At 44.0% G+C, this 27,196-nt stretch overlaps 1 long non-coding RNA gene across 1 annotated transcript, besides 6 other annotated features; it reads right to left on the reverse strand.

Annotated features, from left to right (window-relative positions):
- Positions 1-7,753: 7,753 nt before the first annotated feature.
- On the reverse strand, positions 7,754-20,700 carry LINC02363 (long intergenic non-protein coding RNA 2363). Its single transcript, NR_040108.1, has 3 exons — positions 20,036-20,700; positions 16,812-17,001; positions 7,754-8,776 (listed from the first exon to the last, which is right to left on the reverse strand). It is a non-coding gene; the product is annotated as a long intergenic non-protein coding RNA 2363 (long non-coding RNA).
- Positions 11,972-12,041: a silencer, noted in NCBI's record as "silent region_15835". NCBI's record gives its function as "represses an Ori minimal core promoter by ATAC-STARR-seq in GM12878 lymphoblastoid cells {active_cell/tissue: GM12878}" and the evidence as "EXISTENCE:reporter gene assay evidence [ECO:0000049][PMID:35858748]".
- Positions 14,099-14,393: an enhancer, noted in NCBI's record as "tiled region #724; HepG2 Activating non-DNase unmatched - State 2:TssF, and K562 Activating DNase unmatched - State 5:Enh". NCBI's record gives its function as "activates a minimal TATA promoter and a strong SV40 promoter by Sharpr-MPRA in HepG2 and K562 cells {active_cell/tissue: HepG2 | K562}" and the evidence as "EXISTENCE:reporter gene assay evidence [ECO:0000049][PMID:27701403]".
- Positions 14,099-14,620: a biological region, named in NCBI's record as "Sharpr-MPRA regulatory region 724".
- Positions 14,141-14,190: an enhancer, noted in NCBI's record as "active region_22211". NCBI's record gives its function as "activates an Ori minimal core promoter by ATAC-STARR-seq in GM12878 lymphoblastoid cells {active_cell/tissue: GM12878}" and the evidence as "EXISTENCE:reporter gene assay evidence [ECO:0000049][PMID:35858748]".
- Positions 14,271-14,620: an enhancer, noted in NCBI's record as "active region_22212". NCBI's record gives its function as "activates an Ori minimal core promoter by ATAC-STARR-seq in GM12878 lymphoblastoid cells {active_cell/tissue: GM12878}" and the evidence as "EXISTENCE:reporter gene assay evidence [ECO:0000049][PMID:35858748]".
- Positions 20,701-20,770: an enhancer, noted in NCBI's record as "active region_22213". NCBI's record gives its function as "activates an Ori minimal core promoter by ATAC-STARR-seq in GM12878 lymphoblastoid cells {active_cell/tissue: GM12878}" and the evidence as "EXISTENCE:reporter gene assay evidence [ECO:0000049][PMID:35858748]".

Consider the following 27,196-nt stretch of genomic DNA (forward strand, 5'->3'; position numbering starts at 1 on the left):
TTTTTGTTTGGAACATTGCTTGTTCTTAATGTTCTATTTTCTGGACATAAGGAACCCCTTTTCTTTTTCTCTTAAGTTAGCTATAATATGTAACAATTTAGTAGATACATTTCTATAACAAAAATGGAACATTTATCTTTTTTCCTAATCCTTCCATAATTCAGAAACTATTACTGAGTATTTTTATGTTCATGGTTGTATTAGTCTGTTCACACTTTGCCATAAAGAAATACCTGAGACTGGGTAATTTATAAAGAAAAGAGGTTTAATTGGCTCACGGCTCTGCAGGCTGCACAGGAAGCGTGGCAGCTTCTGCTTCTCCGGAGACCTCAGGAAACTTCCGGTCATGTGGAAGGCAAAAGGAGAGTGAGGCGCATCACATACTCAGAGCAGAAGGAAGAAAGAGAGAGTGGGAAGGTGCTACACACTTTCTTTTTTTTTTTTTGAGACGGAGTTTCACTCTTGTTACCCAGGCTGGAATGCAGTGGCACGATCTCGGCTCACGGCAACCTCGGCCTCCCGGGTTCAAGCGATTCTCCGGCCTCAGCCTCCCGAGTAACTGGGACTACAGGCGCCCGCCACCACACCCAGCTAACTTTGTATTTTTAGTGGAGATGGGGTTTCTCCATGTTGGTCAGGCTAGTCTCGAACTCCCGACCTCAGGTGATCTGCCCACCTTGGCCTCCCAAAATGCTGGGATTACAGGTGTGAGCCACCATGTCCAGCTGCTACACACTTTTAAACAACCATATCTCACGATAACTCACTGACCAGCACAAGAGCAGCACCAAGGGGACAGTGCTAAAACATTCATGAGAAAATGTCCCCATGATCCAATCACCTCCCCCTAGGCCTCACCTCTAACACTGGGAGATTACAATTGAACATCAGATTTGAGTGGGGACACAGATCCAAACCGTATCAATGGTGATATACTATTTTATATGGGTTCGATAAGAATCTGTCCTTTTTGTAACAGAACATAATTTTAAAAATTGATTAGATAATCAAGGCTTTGACCAAAATGTTTTATTTGAGAATAAGACATGGGGGTCCATTCCAAGATGGCCGAATAGGAACAGCTCCGGTCTGCAGCTCCCAGCCTGATCGACGCAGAAGACAGGTGATTTCTGCATTTCCAACTGAGAATAAGACATAAAATCACATATGAACAGACAGTTTTGAGGAACTAAGGTTAACTTTATGGAGCCAATGCATATGAAGCCCTCCCGGAAAGTCTGCCTGGTACCTGGATTATGGAGTTCCCAGCCTTACAGGTGAGTCAGGAAGGTGACTTTCTGGCAGGCCAAAGAAACTCAGGATGTTTTTAGGACCTCAAGAAGAGAAGAACCCATCTGAATCTCTAGGCATTGCAGATAAGGCCTGGTGGTGCTTGACTTGGCTTTATAGCTTCAAGAACTCTTGAAAGCATAATCTGAGATTACTTGTAAAAAGTTCCAGCAATGCAAACTTAAATAAGCCTACCTGGTCAGTTGCCATTCTTGCTGCAATTATGCAAATAAGTAAGTCAAATATAATGAGACAAGACTTATTTTGTAAACAAGAATAATCTTACTTTGGTTAATTTGGATCAAAAAAGGGGGATGACTGTAGAAAGATATTTTATAAAAACTATAGCACCTTCTTATGGGTTATTATTCTGGTCCTGTACTTGTCTTTCAGGTTTTGTTATCTACTTGTAAATTGAACGGGATCCTGTCATCATGCACAGCTTGTCAGTCCTTACCAAATTCTCAGTTCTTCTAGTTCCCTTTACTATCTGGCTACCACTCTCCAAACTGAGGTTTTTAATTTTTCTCCCACTGTCCTGATTTGGCATCACTGAGAACTAAAACCTAACTTCCCAGATCTTTATTGTGACTGTCTAAAGAAGCCCTTCAAGATGAAGTTGGACACTTCTACACTCTGCTCGGAAAAATAACCATGACTGTGACACTGATGTCTATGCCATCACCAAGGACATTCAAACTGCAAACCAGAAAATCCATGATCTGGGATGGCCACTGCAGTCCTCACCCCATCATCTAAAGATGCCTTGACATCTAGAAATCTTCTCAACTGGCTGCCCTGCTACCAAGTTTCAGCAGGGGGCTCAGCTTGTCCTTAATGAAAAAAAGGCCACCAAATGAGAAATTGACTTATATTGTTCAAAGGAAAGAAGAATGTCTCTTTTTCCCTTGAACAAGAGGAGGGACCAAGAAAGACCCTCCCCTTGACCAAATTTTAGATGAGCTCCTCTGAGGCCTCTTTTCAACAAGCTTTGTCCTTGCATCCTGTCTTCAGCCTGCCTAGTCCAATTGTAACAAGAGTCCTGCTAAGTCAGTTTAGGGAAAATCCTCCCACCTTTGATTTCTCCTCTTAGTAATTTTCCATCCACTGACTCTTCTCCTCCCATTCTGCTCACTGGCTAAAAACCTCCAGTGGTTTTTGCTGTATTCAGAGTTGAGCTCAACCATTTCCTGTCTCCTATTGCACAGTCTTGATACCTATTGCAATAATCTTGAATAAATCTTTCTTACTGCCTTAATAAGTGTAAGAAAATCTTTTTCTTTAATACCATTCTACCCTGATATGGTTTGGCTCTGTGTCCCCACCGAAATCTCATCTTGTAGCTCCCATAATTCCCACATGTTGTTGGAGGGACCCAGTGGGAGATGGTTGAATCATGGGGGCACGTCTTTCCCGTGCTGTTTCTTGTGCTGTTCTCGTGGGTCTCAGGAGATCTGATGGTTTTAAAATGTGAGTTTCTCTGCACAAACTCTTTGCCTACTGCCATCCACGTAAGATGTGACCTGCTCCTTCTTGCCTTCCGCCATGATTGTGAGGCCTCCCCAGCCATAAGGAACTATAAGTCTATTAAACCTCTTTCTTTTGTAAATTGCTCAGCCTCAGCTATGTCTTTATCAGGAGCATAAAAACTAATACATATGCTCATTCAAGATGGATTGGATTTACCCTCCTCCCTGAAAAAAAAAAAAAAGCAAAATATATTAAATAGCAATTTTAAGGTACTGGACACCAGGCAATTAAGGATAATGATACTTTGATACTTAAGAGATGAGACATAAATAATGTCATCCATACAGTGGCCAAAATTTACTACTGTGAAAGAGTTTTGAGGCTAAGATATAGGGAGAGGGAACCCTGGTGGAGCCCCAAGGCCTCCCTGAGTTGGGGAGACAGAGTTGAAGGTTGGAAAAACCACAGCAGTGAGAACTCACAAGCAGGTTCCCAGAGAGGAGAGATTTGTGCACACAGAGTTCTAGGGTTTTGCAGAGGGACCTCCTTAAGTATTCTTCTGAGTATTGATTTGTGCATGCATGACAGAAAATTACCCAAGGCCAAAAGAACCACCTGAGTGGATTAGAAGAAACAATGTCTGATACTCGGACACAGCTAGAAATAGTACCTATTCTTACCAGCCACATTTAAGACCATGATTCATGAAGCAATAAATAGAGTACACAGAAGGGTCTTAACTTAGTAGTGGGGAATAATTATGCCTAAACTGAGCACTGCTGTAGTACCACCTAAAAAATCTTAAAAGCAAGACTTTAAGTATTCAAGTGTTGCCAAGTATCTTAACTGTATTGCAGAACAAAGCTGAAGAACACTTATAAGATTGCAAAGAACCCAAGACCCAACAAGATAAAATTATAGTGGCTGGCATCAAATAAAAAATTACTCATCATGAAAAGAAGGAGGTAAACACTAGCCATAATGAAGAGAATAATCAATAAACTGAAATCAAACCAGAACTGACACAGACAGTAGAATAAACAGAAAAGGACATTAAAACAGTTACTATAGCTGTATTCTATATGTTTAAAAGGTCAAATAGAGACATGGAAGATTTAGAAAAGACTCAAATCATCTACAGATGGAAAGTTCAATATTGAGATGAAAAAAACACTATAGGATTAGTAGCAGATTAGCTATTGAAGAAGGGGAAAAAAGTGAAATTGAAATCATAGCAAAAGACGCTACCTAAAAGGAAACTCAGAGGGAAAAAATTCTTTTAATGAACAGAGCGTCAGTGAGCTATGTAGACTAGCCAATGGAATTCACATGAAAAAGCTACTAGAACTATTAGCAAAGTTATAGGCAAAATCAATTGCATTTCTATATATTAGCAATAACCCATTGGCAATTGAAACGGAAAGAAATAATACCTTTTACAATTAGGTCAAAAATATTAAATACTTAAGAATTAATCTGACAAAACTCTGAAAGATCTATATACTGAAAACCATACAACATCGTTGAGAAAAATTAAAGAAGACCTAAACAAATAAAGAAATATACTTTGTTCATGGGAGGAAGACTCAATATTGTTAAGATGTCAGTTCTCCCCAAAATGGTCTATAAATCCAGTGCAATCCCAATCAAAATCTCAGTAGGCTTTTTTTTTTTTTTTTGGAGAAATTGATAAGCTGATTCTAATACTTTTATGGAAATGCAAGGACCTAAAATAGCCAAAACAGTTTTCAAAAAGAAGAACAAAGTTGGAGGCCTAATATGACATTATTTCAAAGCTTATTATAAAGGAACAGTAATCAAACTAGTGCAATTTTGGCATAAAGTTAGAAAAACAGATCAATGAAGCAGAAGAGAGAGTCCAGAAACAGAACTGCACATTTATGTGTTGGTGAATGCCAGGGATTCAGCTTAGGTCTGATTGCTCACCACACAGAAAGCCAATCACTGAGACAACAAGTACTGCCAGGAAGAAAGGCTTTATTGCTGGTGATGCCAGCCAGGATATGGGAGACAAGTCTAAAATCTGTCTCTGTAACCAATAAAGTTAGGAGTTTATGTAGGAGTTGCTCAACAGGCAGTAGGTAGTTGAATCAGGGTTCTGGCACCTTGCTGTTAGGATGCAGCGATCTGGAAATCTTCAGCTTTCTGATACTATCTGGGAGGCCTGACAGCTGGTTTCCTGAGAAATAAACTCAGATAAGACAAATGTAAGTTTCTCAAGCTTTAAAACCTGGAGAGTCCACTTCAATGTTCATTAAAAACAAAAACAAAAACAAAAAACAACAACAAAACTGTAAACAGTTTTTCCCATCAGTTCTATGGGAAAATTGGGTCAGTTTCATTGGCATGACCAACTTTTTACAAAGATGCAAAAGCAAGTCAGTGGAGAAAAGACAGTGATTTCTATCATATCATCACAACAGTGAGGTTGGCACAAGTGGTAATCTATATGCAAAAATTAAAAACCTCAGTCCTTACCTTGCACAATGTATATAAACTAACTCAAAATGGATCATATACCTAAATGCAAAACCTAAAACTAAAACTTCTAAAAGAAAACTCTTGTGACCTTGGGTTAAGTATCTTAAATACTATGCTAAAAGCATGATTTATTAAAATCATAAATTGATACATCTGACTTCATCAAAATTTAAAACACCTGCTCTTCAAAAGACATTGTTAAGAGAGAAAAGTCACAGACTAGAAGAAAATATTTGCAAACCATATCTCTGATAAAGGGCTTGTGTCCAGAACATATAACACACTCTCAAAATTCAATAATAAGAAAACAAACCCAATTTTTAGATAGACAAAATATTCTAACAGACACTCTACCAAAGAAGATATACAAGTTGCAAATAATTACATGAAAATATGCTCGATAATATTTGTTATTATGGTACTGTTACCAGAAAGGGCAGAAAGGGGTCCTGATGCAGACCCCAAGAGAAGGTTCTTGGACCTTGCACAAGAAAGAATTTAGGGCGAGTCCATAAAGTAAGCTGAAACCAAGTTTATTAAGATAGCAAAGGAGTAGGCCAGGCTCAGTGGTTGAAGCCTGTAATCCCAGCACATTGGGAGGCCAAAGCAGGCAGATCACTTAAGGTCAGGAGTTCAAGAACAGCCTGGCCAATATGGCGAAACCTCATTTCTACTAAAACTACAAAAATTAGCCAGGCATGGTGGTGCACACCTGTAGTCCCAGCTACTCGGAAGGCTGAGGCAGGAGAATCGTTTGAACCTGGGAAGCGGAGGTTTCAGTGAGCCAAGATCGCGCCATTGCAGTCCAAACTAGGTGTCACAGTGAGACTCTGTCTCAAAACAAACAAAAAAACAAAACAAAAAACAAAAAACAAAGAAAGTGAAGGAATAAAGGAATGGCTGCTCCATAGACAGAGCAGCAGCATGGGCCGCTCAGCTGCTTATACTTATTGTTACTTCTTGATTTTATGCTAAACAAGGGGTGACTTATTCATGAGTTTTCTAGGAAAGAGGTGGGCAATTCCTGGAACTGAGGGTTCCTCCCCTTTTCAGGCCATATAGGGTAACTTCCTGATGTTGCCATGGCACTGGTAAACTGTTATGGCACTGGTGGGAGTGTCTTTTAGCATGCTAATGCATTATAATTAGCATATAATGAGCAGTAAGGACAACCAGAGGTCACTTTCATCACTATCTTAGTTTTGGTGGGTTTTGGCCAGCTTCTTTACTGCATCCAGTTTTATCAGCAAGGTCTTTGTGACCTGTAACTTGTGCCAACTTCCTATCTCATCTTGTGACTAAGAATGCCTAACCTCCTGGGAATGCAGCCCAGAAGGTCTCAGCTTTATTTTATCTAGCCTCTGCTCAAGATGGAGTCACTCTGGTTCCAATGCCTCTGACAGTAATGTGAGTTAAAACCACAATGGGATACCATTACATGTTTTTGTGTGTTTTTTTTTTTCATTTTTGTTTTGTTTTTTTAGATAGAGTCTCGCTCTGTCACCTAGGCTGGAGTGCAGTGTCGCAATCTCAGCTCACTGCAAGCTCTGCCTCCTGGGTTCAGGCCATTCTCCTGCCTCAGCCGCCTGAGTACCTGGGACTACAGGCATCCACCACCATGCCCGGCTAATTTTTTGTATTTTTAGTATTATTCACCATGTTAGCCAGGATGGTCTCGATCTCCTGACCTCGTGATCTGCCCGCCTCGGCCTCCCAAAGTGCTGGGATTACAGGTGTGAGCCACTGTGCCCGGCCCCATTACATGCTTTTAGAATGGTCAAAATTAAAAAGACTGAACACATCAAGTTTTGACAAGAATGTGAAGGAATTGACACTCTCATATATGGCTGGCAAAAAGGTAAAATAATACAACCATTTTGTAAAATAGTTTGGTAGTTTCTTCAAAATTTAGGTATATACTTATTTTATGACCCTAGATATTTACCTAAGAGAAATGGAAACTTATATCCACACAAAGACTTGTAGATAAATGTTCACAGAAGCTTTGTTTTATTAACCCAAAACAGAAAACAACCCTAATGTCTTTCAGTGGTTGAATGGATAAACAAACTATGGTATATACATACGATGGAATACCACTTGGCAATATAAAGAAATAAATTATTGATCCACAGGAAAACATGGCTGAATCTCAACATAATTATGCTAAGTGGGAGAAGCTGGAGAAAAAAAAGTTCTTTTTTTTTTTCTTTTTTGGGGACGGAGTCTCGCTCTGTTGTCCATGCTGGAGTGCAGTGGCGTGATCTCAGCCCACTGCAACCTCTGTCTCCCAGGTTCAAGCAATTCTCCTGCCTCAGCCTCGCGAGTAGCTGGGATTACAGATGCCCATTACCATGCCTGGCTAATTTTTGTATGTTTAGTAGAGACAGGGTTTCACCACGTTGGCCAGGGTGGTCTCGAACTCCTGACCTCAGGTGATCTGCCCGCCTTGGCCACCCAAAGTGCTGGGATTACAGGCGTGAGCCACCATACTCGGCCAGAGAAAAAGAGTTCTTAATGTATGTTTTCAGTTATTTAAAATTCTAGGAAATGCAAACGAATTGATAGCGGCAGAAATCAGATCAGGGATTGCCTGGGAAAAGGAGAGATGTGGGCAGGAGAGAGGGAGGAATTACCAAGGGGCACAAGGAAACTTTTGTGTGTGATAGCTATGCTCATTTTCTTAATTGTGGTGATGGTTTCGTAGGTGTATATAATATAACCAAACTTGTCAAATCGTACACTTGAAATACATGCACTTAAATATTGTATTTTTATTGTTATGTCAATTATATTTCAGTAACTCTCAAAATACTCACCACTTTGTGCTCAGCACACTAATTCTCCAGTTTGAAAAGTCCCTTGTATGGTTACCAACCTGCCAACCTGGTTATTGGATGAGAAACCCAGTATTCCAGCTCACAGCTTGATTATTGCCTCTTCTAAGTGCCTGTTACAAAAGGTCAGGCATCTTCAAGATGCTAAAATGAGTGAGGAAACTAGACTGGAAGGGATTAGGGAGGGAGGCAACAAGGACCTATGGAAAGGGAGTGGGCCAGAGGTGGGTTAAAGATGAAGTGCTGCTACTTACCGCTGTGTGATCCGAGCAAGCTTCTTAACCCCTCAAAATCTATCACATAGGGGCATTTGGTCATAAGCATCAGAAACTGATTTGAGCTAATTTGAACCACAAAAGAACTTATAAAAGAAATGAGAGTATTCATGAGACAAAAGTTGAATGAATGCTATATATTGCTGCATAACAGACTTAGTGGCTTAAGACAATGATTTTTTATCTCTCATAATTCTGTGGGTTAGCTGGGCAGCTTCCCTCTCTAGTTTTGCCTGGCCTGCTCATGCATTGCATTCAGGGAAAGCAGCTGGGCTAGAAGGTCAAAGACGGTCACACTCACATCTCTGGAAGGTGGTACTGCGCTGCTGTCTGTGGCGTCTTCTTTCTTCTTCATGTGGCGTCTCATCCTCCAATGCAGGTGAGATCTGCTGCTTTCAGGGCCTTTAAAGGACAATGTTCCAAGTGGGTGAAGGCAGAATTTGCCAGACCCCTTGAGTCTGGCCTCTGGAACTCACATACCTCTTCTGGCTCATTTTGTAAGCCAGAGTAATTCACAAGACCATCTTAAATTCTGGGGAGTGAAGAAATAGACTGTGACACCGGGTAGGAAGGATGGCTTAGTCACATGGCAAAAGGTATGCATGCTAAAAAGAGAGGGGTGCGTAGCCACTGTTAAATAAAACTTGGGAGAGACCATTGTTTTGGACTGAATTCCTGCACTGGGCCCCAACAGGCCAACCCAAATGGAGTCACTCATGTTAAGTGCCACGTAATCAAACTAAAACTTTAAAAAGCAGTAAAATCCCAAAACAGGCCAGGTTGCCAAAAAGAAAAAAAAAAAAAGGAGTCCAGTCAACCTGAGTGGCATGATAAAGCAAGTTCCCTCTGTTTTAATCCACACAATGAAAGCAACCTGAAGTAACCAAGATAACCAGAAGTAACCAAGTAAGCGGATATTAACCAATATGCTTTTTGTACTATGCTGTTTCCTTGTTCCTGCTCAAACTACCTTACAGAATCTTACTGTTCTGCCATTCCCAGTGGAGCTCTTGTCTATTTTATCAACTAGGTGCTGCCCAGTTTATGAATTGCTAATAAAAGCCAAGTAAGCTGGGTGCAGTGACTCATGCCTGAAATCCCAACACTTTGGGAGGCTGAGACAGGTGGATCGATTCTGCCTAGGAGTTCAAGACCAGCCTGGGCAATATGGCGAAACCCCATCTCTACAAAAAAATACAAAAATTAGCTGGGCATGGTGGTGGCACATGCCTGTAGTCCCAGCTACTCAGGAGGCTGAGGTAGGAGGATCACTTGGGCCTGGGGAGTCAAGGCTGCAGTGAGCTGAGATCTTGCCACTGCACTCCAGCCTGGGTGACACAGCAAGACCCTGTCTATAGATAGATAGATAGATAGATAGATAGATAGATAGATAGATAGATAATTATTATAACTGATAATTAAATGAAATAATGTATTTGAAATGCCCAATATATAAAAGACACTTATTGAACGGGTACCTACTATTAATGTCATTATGGTTATGAACAGAGATCTCTCAAAAGAAAGTCTCTTGCTCAAGAATACTTGTCATGGTGACCTCTTTGGTGGAGGCTGCAGGGTATGTGACAAGGAACTGAGTTTTGTTGTCAAACTTTTGGGAGAAAGACTCGCTTACTCTTTCCTTTTGTAAGCCCACAAATGCAGCTGGGGTAAGGAATTAAAATGAGATTGTATTTGATTTGCCTTAAAATTCGCGTTTACCTTATAAACGTGTATACTGGACAGTGTCCAGTCAGCAGAACGGAAACTACCCTAGGAATTTCAAGTAGAAGAAAGTTAACCTAGGAAATGGGCTGCAAATGTGTTGAAGAGCTGGAGGAGAATAAAAGGGGAGAGCTGAGATCATTCAGAGACCAGTAACTGCAGGAAGCTACTACTACCGTCCTAAGGCTGGCTGAACAAAAGGAAATATGGTGTGATCCACAAAGAGTCGGTGATTGCTCGGTGGCTGAAGCTGCTGTGATACTTGCTGCTCCACGGCCGTTATTGGAAATCTTTCAGGAAGCCGAGAAATTAAACTCCCACCAAGGGCTGCCTGTCACGGACACTGATGCTGCCAGATCCAGAGCCCAGGAACGCCCTGCTGCAGAGGCTGCGAGAGCACTCCCTGCCCCCACTGCTGTTGAAACTCCACCTGAGCAGAAACTCAGTCACCTACTGCCGCTGCTACTGCTATTGCCGCAGCTGCTGCCACTGCTGCTACTGCTGCCACTGCCAGAGACTTCAACAGAAGGAGAAATAAAATCAGCTTCTTTCTCCCTTCTACCCTCCTTCCAAGCTCCCACCAGTGTCTCCCATTGGCAGAGGCTACTGGGAAGCAAGCTGGCTGGGGATTCTGGGAAATGTAGTTTGCAGGCTTCCAGCTCCTACAGAGAAGGGCAGGGAGAGTGGGGTGGCATTGAGAGCCGACAGGCAAACAGGCAGTACCATGTGAAACACAGACGTTTCGCAGAGCGCCGCTGCGTGTGTGCCTCTCTAGATGCTTTCCGTTTGGGTCTCGTTGAAGCAAAGTGAATGTATGTTGAATGTTTCAAAATTCTTAATGGAATACTGTCACACCACATTTAACCATCTGGCAATCAAATCCCTATTCCTTCTGGCCATTTACTCCTTTCCTCCTTAGGTTTGGCATTGGATGTGTAAATTCTGGAAAAAAAAAAAAAAACCTTTGCGTTTCACACTCCACTTTGCAGAACACCAGTGGAGTCTTTCCGGTCTCCTGCCTCTTATCCTCTTGAAAGTGCTTCATTAAATACCCAAGGGGCTGGATATATTGCATGGGACATCTTACGCAAAGGGATACATAGATTCCTTGTATTCCCTTAAGTAATCTCAAAAGATGCTCCTGGTTTTTCTTCAAAATTGTCTACGATTTTTTATTTTATCTATGATTACACACCTAGTCTGCTACATCTGTGATAATGCAAAAGGCTATTCTATTAAACTAGCAATGGCTGTCCCTTATGAAATGAGGTCACTTCCTCTTTAGACCTGAGCACTGAGAACATTAGATTATTCTTCGATTTTCTCTTAGGTTTATTGAGCCTGATTGTTCCTTCATGGGCTGAAATCATGCTGCTCTCTCCAAGAACAGCCCTGAGGAGGGGGCGAGTGGGAGGCTGTGATAGCTCAGAACCACTCCAACAAATAAATCAAAATCCAAAATAGAGCTGCTGTGAATTGGAAATCCTTCAGTATTTCGGATTTCCAACTCAGAGCATGGTCAGAGCTCAGGAGGAAACTTTGTTCCTACCCCAGAATTGGATCCTCAGGTAAAATCAAGTGACAGAACAGCGAGGGTAGTCATAAAGACAGAAAGTGAAGGGAGGCTTGTTTTGCCAGGGACAGTCCCACAGCCTTGCCATGGAGCCTCGTGTCTGCCTCCGCACCTGGCTGAGTCGCCCAGTGCCTGGTAGGCCCCTCCTATGGCAGTGACAGTTGCATGAGGCAGAGGTAGGGGCAGATGCAGGGGTGGCCAGTGGTCCAGTACAGGGTTCAAGGGATGCAGCTGCCTGTGAGGCCATCACAGGGATGAGGGATGGCATATTTCAAAGAAGTTTAAAGACAGAAACCAACAGGTATCAAGTTCCTATGATGGGACAGGCATGCTCTATCACTTTTCATTTTAATCCTGACAGTAACCTTATGACATTATCTCCTTTTTAGAAACAGGAAAACAGATGATCTTGCATCTGGCAAGCCACCTAGCCAGGACGCAATGCCCTGTCTCTGACACCCACATGCCCCTGAGGCGAATCCCGGCACTAGCTCCTCCTAGGACAAGCAGGAGGGACAAATAACCTTCACTGATCAGCTGTCATGCGCCAGGCATTGTGCTATGTGTCTGACATATGTTACCTACTTTAGACCTCCCCAGCACCCTGAATCATAGGTCCTGGTGTTCCCATTTTACAGGGTAGGAACATAAAGTCGAATGTTATAAATGTGTACAGGCAGGGGATTTGAACCCGGGCTTACTTATTCCAAAGCCAGATCTTTCTGTGGCATCAGCAGCTTCCTGATCTATTTTGGGAGTGGAGATGTAAGCATTGAAGGTCAGGAAGAGGGCTGGGCAGAGCAGGCCAAGAGCTGGATGATTGGTTTGGACACAGTGTGTGGAAACAGGAGAGCCTTGGGGCCTGGGGTGACTGTGCACTTGTCACAGCTGTCTTGCTCTTTGTGGCCTCTTCCCTGCCAGTGTCTCCCAGGGGTTAAGAAAGGCTTGAGCCGCTTTTATTTTTCCCCTAGAACAAGGTACAACAAGGCTGAGGTCCCAGCCAAATGTTTCTGGGCCCACAGTGGGCCCTCTTGCTGCCGCTCCTCCTGCCTGCACCTAAACCTGTGGGACCCCATGTAGCAAAAGCTCCTTTCAGCACAAGCAAGGACTCCCTTCTCAGGAGGCCTCCCTCCTCAATACAGAGGTCAGGGCCAGAGCCTACTCTTTAATTCATATCCCCGAAGACCCTTTACATCACTTACACCCAGGAGAGGGTCCATAATTATCTTCCCACTAACTGAAAAAACACATTAACCTTTTAAAACAAAATCCCCAGGGTTTTAGGAAAAGTGTAATCACTGAGGTCAACTTCGTGGGCTTACACTGGGATTTGTGAGCAACATTTTAAATAACTAAAAAGCATTAAGTAGTTAGTGACATCTAACAAAATATAAAAAGTAGACTATAAATATATGACCATTTTCTTTTTTATTTTATTATTATTATTATTATTTGAGACATAGTCTTGCTGTGTCACCCAGGCTGGAGTGCAGTGGCGCAATCTCAATTCACTGCAACCTCAACTCACTGCAACCTCCGCCTCCCGGGTTCAAACGATTCTCCTGCCTCAGCCTTCCAAGTAGCTGGGATTACAGGTGTGCACCACCATGCCTGGCTAATTTTTTGTATTTTTAATAGAGACGAGGTTTCACCATGTCTCTGGTCTCAAACTCCTGACCTCAAGTGATCCTCCCACCTCGGCCTCCCAAAGTGCTGGGATCACAGGCATGAGCCACTGTGCCCGGCCAAAATATGACCATTTTCTAAAGTCTCTTTCTTTTAAAATTTGGTGTCATGAAACAGTATTTCCTGCCTACAACTTGTAGTCATGTCCTCACTCCAGAATGTACCCTGCTCTCCTCTGAAGAAGAAAAAGAAGACAAAAAAGGAAATCATGTACTATTGGGAAATTGCTGGTTGAAAACTTCTCCTAACTCAATATTTTGTCCTCCTACCCTAGTTCTGTGACAAAGCTCAGTGGTCAGATCATTACACATTTAAGCCAAACAGAACTCAGAAATGGGAGGAGAGACACACCAACACAGAGAAAATCTAAGATCATAAAATAAGCTATTCTAGCCACGTTTTCCATTCTAGGTGAATATTGCCTATAGAAAAATGTTTTTAAACACGATTTTGTGAAAAACTGCTACTGGGAAGCCGCTGACACGAAAAGGATGTCCTCTTGGTGGGGAATTTAATCCCGTTTTTGGTATTTCGTGTCCATTACATTTTCAACAGGTGATCAGGAAAGCAGTGCTGGTGCTGGTGTGATTTCTCGACTTTACAACAGGTGCATACAGGGCATCCAATGAGAGTTTGAAAACATGCATCCCCAGTGATCATTTCTTAGGAGATAGTTGAGGCTGTTTTGTAACTCTCAGTGGCTGCCATAGGCATTTTCACAATGTTGCTTTCCTGTCTTTAATTTTAGTTCCTCTTTGAGCTGTGGAACAGCTAACACTGCTGCAGAAATGACCTTCCGCCATGTTCTGGAGTCTTCAGCTCCAAATGGGATTGGTCAGGGCCAGTGCGTGACACACTGCCTTGCAGACGGAAAGCCTTTGTCAGTGAATTCTCAGTGGTGTCAGATTTCTATTCACTCAAGAACACACCCAGAAACCTGGAGAAACAGCTCTTGCAGAGTAATACCGACTCTCCCTCCTCCTGCTTGTGCACTGGCCCAGGCAGAGAGGAAGGAAGTCACAACTTAAAAATAAAATTCACACATAAGCTTTTGGCCAACATTTACATCTTAATAACCTGAAGTCCCATGGGGTCCCACGCTGAGCTTTGTCCATGACATTCACAGTGTTCACACACCTCAGACCATCTCTTCTGGGATCTTCCTGGGAGGGCTGCCCCAGCAAAGCGAGCAGTGCTGCCCTTTGCTGAGAAAAGGTCTCCCCGTGGCCGGGCTGGAGCCCCACGCGTGTGCTCTTATGTGCTGCTGCTGTGTCCATCTGCCTTGCAATAAATTCCCCAGGCTTTATCAAATGGCCTTGGCTTTAGAATTTGCCCTTCGGGACACTAATGGTAGAGGAAATAGCTTGTCATTAGATCAAAAAAATTGTCATGAAAGTCCCTGCTCTTCTGCAAAATTAACAAAGCCAAGGCCTCCTCCCTTGGAGCCTGCCTCACCTGACAGAGGTGTGTCTGGCAACGTCTGGACGCACCTGGGACCCAGAGCAGCCAGCGGGAGGCTTTCGGGCCCCCTCAGCAAGAGGAAGTGCATTTGAACACCTGGAAACAAAATGCATGTCTCCGGACTGCCCTTCAGTAAAACATTGCTTCCAACTCCTGATATGCAGCTTTATTTTCATTTTTTAGATTATCTCTCGGTAATAGCCAGGACATAACTCATGGCTGACTCCTTTTCTAATTCTCCAACTTGCCTCAGTGCCTCCCAAAGCCTAGTCCCCGATGGTAAGGCTCTGTGACCCAGCGGTCAGGGTGAGGCCCATGGCAGTCGCCTGGTTCTATTAAGAAACCTCTATTTGTAGTCCTGCGCTTCATTAGATAAACTGGTTTTCTGCATGTAGACTGCAAGTAATCACCGCATACAAACAAAATGAACTCTGCCGCCTAGCACTAGATAAGTAATGCTTCAGAAACTATTACTCTAGGCCTCTTCATAAACTCAGTCCCTTCCCAGCCGCCTCCCCACCCCACCCCCTGGCTAAAGTGAACGTGTACTTATTTGCTGGCTGAAATTCTGTCTATCCTGGTTTCACAATCCTCCCTGCCTCAGTGTCAGAAGTCATATAGTTGCACAGACAAGCTTATCTTTTGGCAGCAATTTCTAAAACAAATGTAAGTCCTTTGCTTTTCTCTCCCCTGCCAACCCCCGACACTGTACTGCATCGCATAAGCTTCCAAGCTTGCTTTTAAAGCTTCGTCCTTGAGCACATGGGACATGGAAAAATACTGCCTGATAGGGTGGCTAATCTAGTGGGATGATTGGAGATCAGTGGATTAGGGAGACTGTGGCGTCAATTGAAGATCAAGGTCCACTGTGCTTCATGCCACTCCTTTAGAACACAAAGGCCAATATCATTCTTGCCACACCAGCTTAAAACCCGATACCTCGGAAGCAGGTTAGGCAAGGCAGCACAAGGACTTGCTGAACCCAGAGCAAGCAAATATCCCCACCTGCAAGCCTGCTTGGCAGAGCAGGGCTGACAGTGGGGCACAGAGAAAGTTACCTCAACCATTCTGTACTCCTCTTGCCTTTAACGAGCCCCCATTTTAACCAAGTTTCATCCCTCCTCTTTTTAAAGCCTCTCGAAGGACCCATAATTGCCCTTGATAGAGCTCCTTCACATGTAATTTGAATGTAATTCACTTACATAGTCAATCTGATCAGCACTTACTAATCCATTGCCTATAACTCATTTTTCATTATTATTTCTTGAATGAGTGATTTAAAAAATTGCATATGCATATCGTTCCCAAGTCTCTCTCTGAGCCTCTTTGTGACGGGGATGGAGTAAGCACCAGCTTGTATTTCCTTCCTAGTTCCCCTTCCTGCGGCGCTTCCCTCTTGGGGAGATTTCGGTGAATGCTGAAGATACTTTCTTGGGCAGAAATGAAGGGGCTTTCCATCCTCTGTGGAAGAACCACATTGACAAGCCCCCCAGCACCCCACCTTCTTATTCCCAGTTGTGTGACCTCAGTTTCCCTGACCGTCTCTGTGCCTCTCCTCGCAGCCCTCTTGAGGACTTGTTTCTCCACCCCATGGCTGCTCTGCCAGGCATGGTCTAGGCCTGGACATCAGCAGTCACCAGGTTTGCTTCCGAGGAGCAGCGGCAGCAGGAGGAAGTCTGAAGCTGTGGTGAATGTGCTCCTTTTGGAGCAGGGCCCAAGGCCAACCTGAGTCCAGGAGGAAGAGATGAAGCAGGACAGCTGCAGTGGAGGATGAGGACAGGGGGACGCAGAAGCACCTTCCTGCTGAAGTGTACCGTGAGGGGGTGTGGGGACCACACTTGGGGTTCTGCAGCAGCAGCTGGAGAAGAGGGTCACCTCAAATTGCAGAGGATGCACTGGAAGGCAGAAGGGGGAAAGAGACTCAGAGAGAAACAGGGGGAGGGAGAGTAGGGAGAAGCAGGGGGAAAGGGTGAGGGGAGAGAAAAGAATTACCTGCACAAGATGGCCACTTGGATGGAGGATGAGGAATAGAGAGCCCGGAAGGCGAGAAATAGGTCTAAATTCATGGCACACATTCATACACAGGAGGCCTGGATCTCTGTGGGCGCTGGGGTGTGTGTGCACCGAAGGTCCACCTGGCCTGTAGTTGGTATGTCGATGAGGCCTTTTCCCTCTCAATGTCCTGTGATAGCCGGAAGCATTATAATTGCTTAAAGGATGGTGGCTAGAAAAGTTGAGAAAGTACATATTCCCTAGAGTGCTCTGCTATATTTTTCTACGTTTTTATTTCCTCCAAGAGTGACAATCCCTCAAAAGCTCAGGAGGCTGCTTTGAAGGGGGAATTAGGGGCCAAGAGGCTTGAACGCCAAGAGAGGGAGCTGCGCTATCTCTAGGTGTGAGAATAGGGCTGGCCCAGCCTCCTGAAGAGGGGCTTCTCCAGGCCCAAGCCCAGGACCAACAGCAGCTGTGGGTGTGGGAGAGCGGCTGCTCTGGCCAATAGGACTACACCAACTGGGGTGTCTGAGCCAAACAAAGCCCACCAGGGACACCCCATGTTGGATCGGGCACCATATTTTCCTCCTTCCACCTGGAAAGTGATGCTGTAAGCTCCCGTCTGACTCATTCTCCAGGCTCAGCTTGAGCCCACCTCCAGCAAGAGGCCTCCCCAACCTGCTCCCACCCTCATTTAAACCAACAGCCCTCATGGCATCTACCAATTACAGTTTGCTGTTCATCAGTTTTTCCAAGCAGATTAATATTTTGAGGCCATGAGCAGTAGGGTTTTCAGAATTAAATAGAAAACTTTAGCACTGTTTGAAAACTTTAAGAAAAAAATCGGACTACCAGCAGAAGTGTCTTCCATGAGTGCTTTATACTTTTAAACTGGACTTTTTTTTTTTAATCTGGGAAAGTTGCAAATGAAGATGAAGAATCTGCAAAGACGTATCCCCCGGTGTTTAAAAAGAAATGCTTGGCCAAACAGGCTACCTTCAGGTTGTATTTTTTATTTTAATGAAGCAGGTCGGTCTCAGAAAGAAATGTCATAAAGAAAATGTGGCACATATACACTGTGGAATACTACGCAGCCATAAAAAAGAATGAGATCACATCCTTTGCAGCAACATGGATGCACTGGAGGACATTATTCTAAGTTAATTAACTCAGAAACAGAAAACCAAATATCGCATGTTTTCACTTGTAAGTGGGAGCTAAACATTGGGTACACATGGTCAAAAAATGGGAACAGTAGATACTGGGGAATACAAAAAGCAGGAGAAGGAGAGGGGGTTAAGGGTTAAAAACTACTATCTATTGGGTACTATGCTCACTACCTGGGTGACAGATTCATGTGTGCTCCAAACCTCAGCATCATGAAATTACAGCTTTGTAATAAACTTGCCCACGTACCCCCTAATTCTAAAATAAAAGTTGAAAAAAAAAAGAACACTTCATTTGCAAGGAGGAAATCAGAAGCCCAGGGTATAAAACTGCAAAGGATGTACGGTGGGAGGGAGATGTGACGCCAGTGGAGATTTAACTGTATCGATTATACTGATATTTCAACTAGCATCGTTACTGTTCTTGGTAATAGTAACAAGGCTCTGGTTATAAGTTCCGTTAAGTTTTGAATGGTCTGCCCACCTCTACTTTTCCCATGAGCTAATTATTTTTCACCCTTCGTTTTCCAGAAACGAGAGTTTTCATGGGCGATGAGGCGGATGAACGTATGAGATTGCAGTAGAAGCTCCAGTATGCGGCGATTTCTGGCTTATTGACCTATGACACTTTTTTTCTGGATTCTTATCTCATTTAACTTTGCTATTTGTATTAGTTTCCAAATGCTACTATAGCAAATTTCCACAAGCTTAGTGGCTTAAAACAACCCAACTGTGTTATCCTACAGTCTGAAGGTCAGAAGTCCAAGTTAGGTCTCACTGGACTAAAATCAGGGTGTAGACAGGGCTGTGTTCCCTCCCGCCTTGGCCAGCTTCTAGAGATGCTCTCACTCCTTGGTTCAAGGCCCCTCTCGTCTTCCAAAGAGAGCCATGTCCGGTCTTAACTCGCATTAACTCCAACTATCTTGACTCTTTTGTCCACTTATCAGGACCCTGTGACTACACTGGGCCCACCTGGATAGTCTAGACTCATCTTCCCATCTCAGATCTTTAACTTAATCTCATCTGCGAAATCCCTTTTGTCATGTAAGCTAATGCTCACAGGTCCGGGGATCAGGATGTGGACATTTTAGGGGTGTCATTATCCTGCCTGCCACGCTGTGGTTATTCACCTTTCTATGTGTTCATGCTTTGGCACCCCCAGCAGATGGGAAGCTCCTCTGGGGAGTGGGGTACTGCTTCTTTGTCATTCTGTTCCCCATAGCAATTGCCCAATTCAGATACTCAGAAGGTATTTTTCAATTAGTTTTCCTTCCTGACTCCTGGTTTGAATAACACAGAAGTGTATTTCTAGGTAGTAGCTGTGTTGAGCCAGCCATGGTATCTTACCTTCTTGCTAGTCAGTGGGATACAAAGATGATTCAATATTGCCCCAATTTTCAATAAATTTGCCAGGTCGGGCACGGTGGCCCTCGCCTGTAATCCCAGCATTTTAAGAGGCCAGAGCAAGAGGATTACTTGAGCCCAGAAGCCCAAGACCACCCTGGGCAGCATAGTGAGACCTCGTCTCTAGAAAAAAATTTAAAAACTTAGCTGGGCATGGCGGTGCCTGCCTGAAGTCCCGGCTACTTGGGAGGCTAAGGTGGGAGGATTGCTTGAGCCCAGAAGTTAGAGGCTGCAGTGAGCCATGATCACACCACTGCACTCCAGCCTGGGTGACACAGTGAGACCATGTCTCAAAATAAATAAATAAATAAATAAATTTGCCTTGCAAAATGTTCAAGATGGCTGGACAGCACCCACAGGGTAAGCTCTTTGACACAGGAACGACACATACAACTAAAGATAAAAATAATGTGATACTTGATTGAGCATAATTTTATGGAGCAGAGGTAGCTAGAATGAGTGGAGAAAGCAACCAGGGAGAAGAGAGCCGAGTGGGTTATTCTCTCCAAATTTTGAATAAAGTCATGGGAAAATCAAAGTAGTAGGAAGGGGTCAAAATGAAGCGTGCAAAGATGTAAGAGTATTATCACGAGAACCCAAGACAGCAAAATACGTGTATGTCTAAATACACCAGAACAGCAAAGGAGAGCTTACCTTATTTAAAGTGACATAAATAAAATTGTAAAACGTAGGGATGCTACTGGAGGCTGAGGGTGGAGGAGACACTGATATAAGCAGCTTTCTTGGTCCTTTGCTTTTGTCGATCAATTTTCCAGGATTAGCTAAAATGCAGCCAGATTTATCCCAGTAAGAAAAAACGTACCCCCTTTCTGGATGCCCAGAGCACTTTGTTTCCTCAGTACAAAGCAGTGACCACATGTGGCTTCAAATTTTGCCATGGAAATCCCCTTACACCCCCTGAAAGCAGATTCAGGTGTGCTAGATGGTATTTTCCAAAGATGAAACCGTCACAGTATCTCCTACTCATGTGCTTCCAGAACTTCGCCACTACCTAGTCAAGACGTAGAGCCTAATTCCGTTTCCTTGAGTCAAGGCAGGTTTGGGACTCACTCACAACCCATAGAAGGCAGTACAATGGATGCTGCCTAGCTTCTAGGTCATCAAAGGCGGCTGAGCTTCTGTCTTGCTGGGGCATTTGCTCTCGGAGCCCTGGCCTTCCACGTGAAGTCCGAGTACCCAAGGCAGCCATGCTGTGAGGGAGGCCACAGTGCCTGGGGAGGACCAGGATGGACGCTGCAGTCAGCGGACCTCATCCTCCAGTGCTCCAGGCCAGGGTTAGACATATAAGGAAAGGAGCCGTTAGACCATAATACACCCCAGCTGCTGCGTTACCCACAGTGGTCACAGCCCCAGCTGTCATGCAGCAGAGACAAGCCACTCCTGCTGTCTAAATTCCAAACCCGCCAGGTGTGGTGGCTCATGCCTGTAATCCCAGCACTTTGGGAGGCTGAGGCAGGCGGATCACGAGGTCAAGAGTGCAAGACCAGCCTGACCAATATGGTGAAACCCCGTCTCTACTAAAAATAGAAAAAAATTAGCCGGGCATGGTGGCACTTGCCTGTAATCTCAGCTACTCAAGAGGCTGAGGCAGGAAAATCGCTTGAACCCAGGAGGCAGAGGTTGCAGTGAGCGGAGATCGTGCCATTGCACTCCAGCCTGGGTGACAGAGTGAGACTCCATCTTAAATAATTAATTAATTAATTAATTAAATAAAATAAAATAAATTCCAAACCCACAGACTCTGAGAGCATAAATAAGATGATCTTTTTAAACCACTAAATTAAGGGGTGACTTCTTATGCAGCAACAGTACCGGGGGAACCAGGTATGAGCAGTGCACATATTTTCACTGAATTTATATTGTTTGGGAAGTTTTCCTGGTTAAGAGTTCCGATTATAGACATTATGTTAACAGAGAAACCAACACCTAGGACGATTAGAGGGTAATCAGTGGCTTCTCCAGGGCTTCAGCTACAGTGATGGGTGAGAGGAACATGACAAGGATCAATTCTGAGAGTGCTGGCCGGGTGCAGTGGCTCACACCTGTAAGCCCTCATTTTGTGAGGTCGAAGTGGGTAGATCGCTTGAGTCCAGGAGTTCAAGACCAGCCTGGGCAACACGGCAAAACCCCATCTCTACAAAAAATACAAAAATTAACTGAGAGTGGTTGTGCTCACCTATAGCCCCAGCTACTCAGGAGGCTGAGAAAGGAGGATCACTTGAGCCTGAGGAGGCCAAGGCTGCAGTGAGCCGTGATGGTGCCACTACACTCCAGCCGGGGTGACACAGTGAGACCCTGTATTTAAAAAAAAAAAAAAAAAAGTATTCTACTTGAAGCAAGAAAAAAATATTTTCTGGAAGGGAATCACTTTCCTAAAAAAGAAAAGTAGCAGAATTTTTGTGCCTAGGGACAACTGAGAATAGGCACCCCCTCACCCATGCTGTGTCCTCCAGGATGAGCTGCCCACAGGTGAGGTGGGGGACCACCACCCAGCTTAGGCAGGAGTGGCCCCTGCAGGGGCAACACAGCGAAGAAGGCTTATCAAGCAGGATGGGGGTTTCCAAGCAGTGCTGCAAAAAGGCCTTTCTGTTGTTTTTTATGTAAGTCTGTTTCATGCCACATTTTGGGTGAAACACACACACACACACACACACATACTGCACAGCTGACAGTGGACAGGACTTCCTGGTGACTCTGGGTAAAGTCATTGTTGCTGGAAGAGAAGGGAAATGCATGTTTCCGGTGAGTTTTGCCTTATGTGGCTAAAATGTGAGGAACTTGGCAAATTTCCCAGTGCAAGAAGTCTATGGGACAGTCTGAAAAAGGAAGGGAGGATAATCTCCACCAGTTACTGAAGTGAAAGTGAACTGTTCTTTTCTGGGGACCCTTCCTTACAGAGAAAGGGTTGAAATGAAAAACACAGCACAGCCAATTTTGTAATATTATCTGGCCAGTTTAGTAGCCTATAGGTATTGTTTAAGGCATTTAGAAATTCAAGTGGTTGTTAGGACTATTTTTTTCTTTGCTTAAGACATCTAACCAATTTTGCATAAACTAGGATGGGGAATATAAAGGCCTTGGTGTTTCTTTTCCAGTTAAATAAATCTATCAATAAATAATTATGGAGCAGGTAACTCCCAAAATGTTTACTTGGATAATGAAATTCCAAGAAAGAGCCTTTAAAATTTGTAGTAGGCTGGGCACGATGGCTCACGCCTGTAATCCTAGCACTTGGGGAAGCCGAGGTGGGTGGATCATTTGAGTCCAGGAGTTTGAGACCAGCCTGGACAACGTGGTGAAAACCTGTCTCTACAAAAAGTTTAAAAATTAGCCAGCCTGTAGTCCCAGATACTCAGGAGGCTGAGGTGGGAGGATCATTTAAGGCAGGGAGGTCAAGCCTGCAGTGAGTCGTGATTATGCCACTGTACTCCAGCCTAGGTGACAAAAGCAGACCCTGTCTCAAAAGATAATAACAATAAGTAAATAATAAAAATTTGTAGTAAATAGATGTCTCTTTTTGGGGCTTATTCTGCATTATAAATTCACTCAGCATCAAGGCCACAGGATTAACTTTTAAACGTCAAGCTTCCTTCTTGTCCTGAAATGTGTCAACAGGTACTGAGTGTTGGCTCAAAGTAACTTGGTCTTACCTGGGGTAATCCCCTACCAGATACCCTCAATTATCTGGTCACTACAGAGCCAAATCTCCAGCATGCCTGGGCTGACATTCTGGAGAAAGTGAATCACAAATCACCTTGAATTAAGGTAACGTGGCTTCTACCACACAAAAGCCCCAAACCTCAGTGATGAAACACAATAGAAATTCACTTCCCACTCATGCAGGAATTGGCGCAAGGCAAGAATGAGGGACGTGCCAGACAATCCTGTGGAGCCTATGCCGAGACAGGCTCTGCCATCCTACGGGCATGTCCCCAGCACTGCTGCCAACAGATAGGATCAGAGAGCAAAGGATGGGCCGGAGCGTTTTGTGGGCCAGGTGTGGAAGTGTCATACATCACTTCCTCCTAGCTTCCCATGGCCAGAACTGTCACCTGGCCCAAATTATTAAGTAGATGCAGGTGTCTCTTGAAAACATCTTCTCTGGCTGAGCAGCCACTTCCCAGCAACAGAGAAGGGGAGCAGAATTCCCTGATGAACATCCAACCTTTGGCCACCATGTCACTTACACTATGGATTCTACCCAGCCCCAGCCTGTGGGATAGCTCCACAGATGATCAAACCGCTCCTAGTCCCAGCAGGTCCATAAGACCATGCTTTGCTGTCTTGATCTGTATTACATTCATTTGGAGCAGTACTTTGGAGCTGGGAGATGGTCCTTCCTGTGGGGATGCAGCAAAGATGGATGAGGCTAGGTCTGCCCAGCTCATCCTGTTTCCAGTGCTCATTCACCAAGGAGGCCAACCAACATGGGAGGTCCTTATGAAAGGAAAGCATGTTCCTCTGGTGCTCAATGATAGATGAACACCTCAGCATATGCAGGGCCCAGGGCAGGCTCAGGTGTCGAGAAGATTTGCTGTGGAACTAGGCCCTGGCCAGGATTTCACTTAGTAATTAACTCTAGGTGTTCTTTTTCCTCTGTGAGTAGCTACTAATGATATAATGGCTGGATTCAATGCTGAAGGTAAGCAGACCTGCTCAGAGATCTGTTTATTTACATAATGAGTTAGCTTGCCCTGTGGCCCCATCACTCTCCTATGTAAATCTAGATTATTTTTAAGGAATGGCAAATATAAGCCATGATTTATTGTTAATTCATTATACTAGGCACTGTGCAAAATACAGTACAGTTTTTATTTATAATAGTAACAACAGCTCTGCAAGGTAGACATTATTGTTTTTATTTTAAAATGAGGTGCAAGGTTAGATAGCTCCTTCAAGGTAGCTGATGAGCAGCCGAGCTAAGACTGGAGTCCTGGCCTATGCAATTCTAAGCTGTGCTCTCCTTCCTACGTGCCATATGATGCATGCCCCACCACCATGCTGTGGGATGCTTGCCACCAGCCTCCTAGAGTAAATGCCTGGCACACACACAGCGAACACCCACCCACTCATCCCCACTGATGAGACTCACCGCAGTAAGCCTTCTCAGGACACTAACAGTAAGCATGGTACACTCACCTTGATAGAGTAACTCCCGTGTGCAAGAAGTTTGTAGAAAACATATTCATTGAAAAGTGAGTGTCCATTGCACATGACTGTGCATATCAACAACATATAATCTGGCCACACCCACCCCTCTTTAGCCATGCCAAGGGTGAGCTGCAGAGTTACAACAGCTGTTTTGGATTCTTGTAAGTGTTCATGTCATCATCAGTACGAGGTCCACTTCTCTTCACTTCTGCTTCTTCACAGTTAACAAACCAGGGAAGTGTGCCTTGTCTTTCTCCAGATAGGTTAAAAAGGCCGCAGGAATTCAGAGAGTAACCAACTTGTCACTAATACAGCCTTTTTGCCAGGCCACCAGAGCATTTGAAAAGATAGTTACTACTGCTAAGAGTCATATCATTGAGCAGAACCTTGTACAGTGAAACATTTTTATGTGTGTCTTTGAATTCTTTAAGCAAAGGCAGAGCAGTTTGGTACTGGAAATCACAACAAAGAAAAGCACATTGCACATTCCCTAACTGCCATTATTAAAATAATTACTTCATTTATTGGAGTGTTTCACATTGCCGGGCACTATCATGGGTGCTTTACACTCATTGTCTTATTCAGTCCTCACATTGCTCCTACAAAGACTATAATTTTATTATTTCCCTTTTGCAGAAGAAAACAAAAACAAACTAAGAGTCAGATTAAGTAAGCACATAGCACACGACAGCAGAAGGTGAGCCCAGGTTTGTTTGAATGCCTCTAAAGCCCATGCTTTTTCCTTTGTACCAGATAGCTAGAGGCCCCAAAGCTGTTTGCAAAAAATGCCAGCCCAAAGGAAACTCTAGCATGAAGTGGGGAGCCTGTCCAGTGCCACATGGCCGTGTTGCTGTTGTGCCCTTACAAGAAAGGGAACACAGTGTTCCAAAACTGCACAGGGACTGTAAACAAAATAAATGGCAGCTCTCAGAATTGGTGCTAATCCCTTGCTGGAGGCTGATTTCAGAAGAAGCCTACTGTGCAGCATTTGACTAGGTAGCCTGGCCCCCAAAATATTAAAAGAAAGTGCTGAGAACAATGTCTGTTTTGTGAGTGTGTATGCATTTAAGGCAGATTATCTCTTCCTATGCCAGTGCTTTCCTGTGCGTATCAGATCTCAAATGCTTGCTTAGTTATTTAAGAATTCCAAGGAAGCCTGAAATGAGCTTTTATAAGGAGAATTCCAAAGCTGACATTTGTTGATGGAAATAATTTCATAAGGTTTGACAGAATGGAAGATTTGCAATTGCATTTGGAGGCAGCAGTGGGATGGAATTACAGGAAGGACCCCTGCCAGCATGTCCCTCATACATAATAAATAAATAGAGCACGGCCATGAACCAATGACTTCAGATGAAAATGCTCGCATGTAAACATACACGTATTTTATAATTTATTTGTAACAAAGGCCTTAGGAAGGTATAGGTGAAAATGAGTTCATAAGATATGCCGTCAGCCAGGCACAGTGGCTCACTGTGATAATCCCAGCACTTTTGGAGGCTGAAACGGGTGGATCGCCTGAGGTCAGGAGTTCGAGACCAGCCTGACCAACATGGTGAAACCCCATCTCTACTAAAAATACTAAAAAAATTAGCTGGGCGTGGTGGTGGGTGCCTATAATCCCAGCTACTCGGAGACTAAGGCAGGAGAATCACTTGAACCCGGGAGGCAGAGGTTGCACTGAGCTGAGATCGTGACATTGCACTTCAGCCTGGGCGACAGAGGGAGACTGTCTCAAAAAAAAAAAAAAAAAAAAAAAAGATTTGTCATCTATTGACTGCAGTCTATCAAGTCCTAGATATATTATCTTATTTAATCCTGACAACATCTTGTGAGTTTGTGGAGAAAAGGATTCTCATGGCCATGCTACAGATAAGAAAATTGAAATTCAGAGAGGTTAAGTCCACAGAGGGTAGTAAGCGGCTGAGCTTAGATTCAAATCCAGGTCCTGCTTCCAAAGACAGGCTCTTTCTCACTTCTCTGAATAACAGACTTCACATTTCCTCGCACAGCTGAGCATCACTTTGAAGTTCCTATTCCTCCCTCCGAGGCATCTGAGGAATCCTTGGGACTAGGAAAAAATAATGATATGTACGCAGAGGTTGTTTATTTGTTTACACACACAGCCCTTCCCTACCCTACGTTGTTGTTGTTGTTTATGTGCCAGAGTCCCCAGAGCCTGCTCTCCACAGTGTGAGATAGTACATACCCTCATCGGCCTGTAAGCTACCTCCTTTGAGCTTCGAGAATTTGCCCATAAATTCCCACACATCATAGGATCCTTAGCTTTGACTGAGTTCCTTCGCATTCTTTGTGACCTGGAAGCTTTCCATTTTTCAGACTTAAAGATACTGCTGTGAACAAGTAAACATGTAACAACATCTGTTCTCCATTTGAAGATCCATTCAATCACACTGGTTTCTTTCTCTGCTCCCCTAACTTCATGGGGGCAACTGGCAACATGTCAGGAGCAGGGACTCATCGATTTTCTGTTTTAAGTGCTACCCCTTTTCTCTTTTCCTTGTCCTTCCCAATAATACCCACAGGCCTGTGTTAGGATTCCTTCCAGCGCATGTCTTCAGGGTATAACAAGAGTCACAGGTGAAATTATGTTAGAGGCAGGGTCTGAGCTGCTTGGCTGCT

This window comes from Homo sapiens, chromosome 4 (assembly GCF_000001405.40).
Source record: "Homo sapiens chromosome 4, GRCh38.p14 Primary Assembly".
Taxonomy (NCBI): domain Eukaryota; kingdom Metazoa; phylum Chordata; class Mammalia; order Primates; family Hominidae; genus Homo; species Homo sapiens.